This window comes from Homo sapiens, chromosome 2 (assembly GCF_000001405.40).
Source record: "Homo sapiens chromosome 2, GRCh38.p14 Primary Assembly".
Taxonomy (NCBI): Eukaryota; Metazoa; Chordata; class Mammalia; order Primates; family Hominidae; genus Homo; species Homo sapiens.
Genome location: NC_000002.12, coordinates 11,466,470 through 11,468,552, shown reverse-complemented (window position 1 = coordinate 11,468,552; position 2,083 = coordinate 11,466,470). Strand labels below are relative to the sequence as shown.

At 45.3% G+C, this 2,083-nt stretch overlaps 1 annotated feature.

Moving 5' to 3' along the window:
- Window positions 1,577-1,656: an enhancer, noted in NCBI's record as "active region_15319". NCBI's record gives its function as "activates an Ori minimal core promoter by ATAC-STARR-seq in GM12878 lymphoblastoid cells {active_cell/tissue: GM12878}" and the evidence as "EXISTENCE:reporter gene assay evidence [ECO:0000049][PMID:35858748]".

Below are 2,083 nucleotides of genomic sequence, written 5' to 3'. Positions count from 1 at the left end.
GGCCTTCTATAAAGTATTCTTGAAATAGCTGCCTCACAGGCAGATGTGGAAAAGCACCTGTAGTTTACAACTAATTCAGTTATTATTTTTTCTTCCTCTGCTGTGCTGCTATTGTGTGTTAGACACACTCTAATTTAGTACTTATGCTTTCTGCTTATGTATCTCCCCCAGGCTAGTAGCCCCTGGAACACAAGGTAAGGCCCCATCAGATTCAGTTCTTCCCTCAACACCTACCCTACTGCTTGGCCCATGAGAGATGCTTCAAAAAAAAAAATGTGCAAAAGATTATGTCTTGGGGAAAAGCCAGGTCACAGGCACAATAAGTGTGAGGATTGTGCCATTTCCCCGACTCTCCCCAGCTCTGTGCTCATGCTCTTTCTTTAGCCTGGACCACTTGCTACTCCGTCCTGATCCACACCCCACCTTTACTTGCCCAACCCCAACTCTGGTTGTAGAGAATCTAGTCGTCCTTGAAGAATCTTCCTAAAGATCTGAATGCCAAATTAATTAATCAGTTGTGGAGTCAAAGCCTGCCTCTACCACTGCCTACTAGGACCTTGAGTAAATTTTTGTAATCCTGCTGATCTTAATTTTGCTGATCTGCAAATTGGGCAGAAAAATACCTATCTTTCAGTTTTGATATGAGATTTACATAAGCAAATGCATGTGGAATGCCAAACACATAGCAGATGCTGAATAAATGCCTTCAAATGGCCATTTCTAACGGCTCTGGGAAATTCTCCATTCTGCAACAATATGCAGTCTTCTCGAGACCTCCGCTACGTTCTCTTTTTTTCTCATCGTTTATTTAGCAAACATTAATAGAGCATGTTTTATTTGCCAGACACTTTGCTAGATGATAGAGATACAAAGATTAGAAGCCAGGCATGGGTGTCTCACGCCTATAACTCCAGCACCTTGGGAGGCTGAGGCAGGAGGATTGCTTAAGGTAAGGAGTTCAAAAAATAAAATAAAATAAAACATAAAAAAAAATTAGCCAGGCATGGTGGCATGCACCTGTACTCTCAGCTACTTGGGAGTCTTAGCTGGGAGATCACTTGAGGCCAGGAGTTTGACGCTACAGTGAATTATGACCGTGACACTGCCCTCCAGCCTGGGTGACAGAAAAAAAAAAAAAAAGATTAGAGAAGGCCTCTGACCTCACAGTCTAGTGGGGAACCAGCTTCTTCGGGGATTTTTCCCTGCCTCACCTCGCCCACCTCAGGCTGTGTAGAAACCCCCAGTCTAACCAGTTGTTTCCCTCCAACTCTGTACATACCACGGTGTGTTGCCTTTTTATTTCAAACATGTGCTGGCCTCTGTTCTAATCACAGCAACCTGTATCCATTAATCCATTTAATCCTCACAACAACCTTATCAGGTAAGTATTGTCATTATTTGCATTTTCCAAATAAGGAAACTGAGGCACAGACAGATTAAGTAACTGGCTTAATAAGGTCTTCTAGTTTATACGTAGAGGCAGCCAGGACTTGAAAACACACCTTCTGGCTCCAGCTAAATTAACATGCTCTGTTTACTTATCTGTCCCCACTGAAATTGGAGGTTGAACCCGTGGCATATTCAAACGAATAAGTATCGCCTGTGCCCACCCCAATATCTGACACTATAGGTCAACGATAACTCATTCGTCAAACAGGAAGGAGGAAGGAAGGAAGGAAGGAAGGAAGGAAGGAAGGCAGGCAGGCAGGCAGGCGGGCAGGCAGAGGTAAAACGATTCCACAATGGTGTGGTTGCTCACATTTACTAAGCATCAACACTGACCTGCCTGTAAGATGCGCTAACAGAGCTCACGAATAAATGAAGGCTGGGTGTGGTAGCTCACGCCTATAATCCCAGCACTTGAGAGGCCAAGGTGGGAGGACGGCTTGAGCCCCAGAGTTCAGGACCAGCCGGGGCAATATACTGAGACCCTGTCTCTACTAAAATTAAAATTAAAAATTAGCCAGGCACAGTGGCGCGCGCATGTAGTCCCAGCTACTTGGGAGGCTGAGGTGGAGGATCGCTTGAGCCCGGGAATTCAAGGCTGCAGTGAGCCCTGACCACGCCACTGCACTCCAGCCTG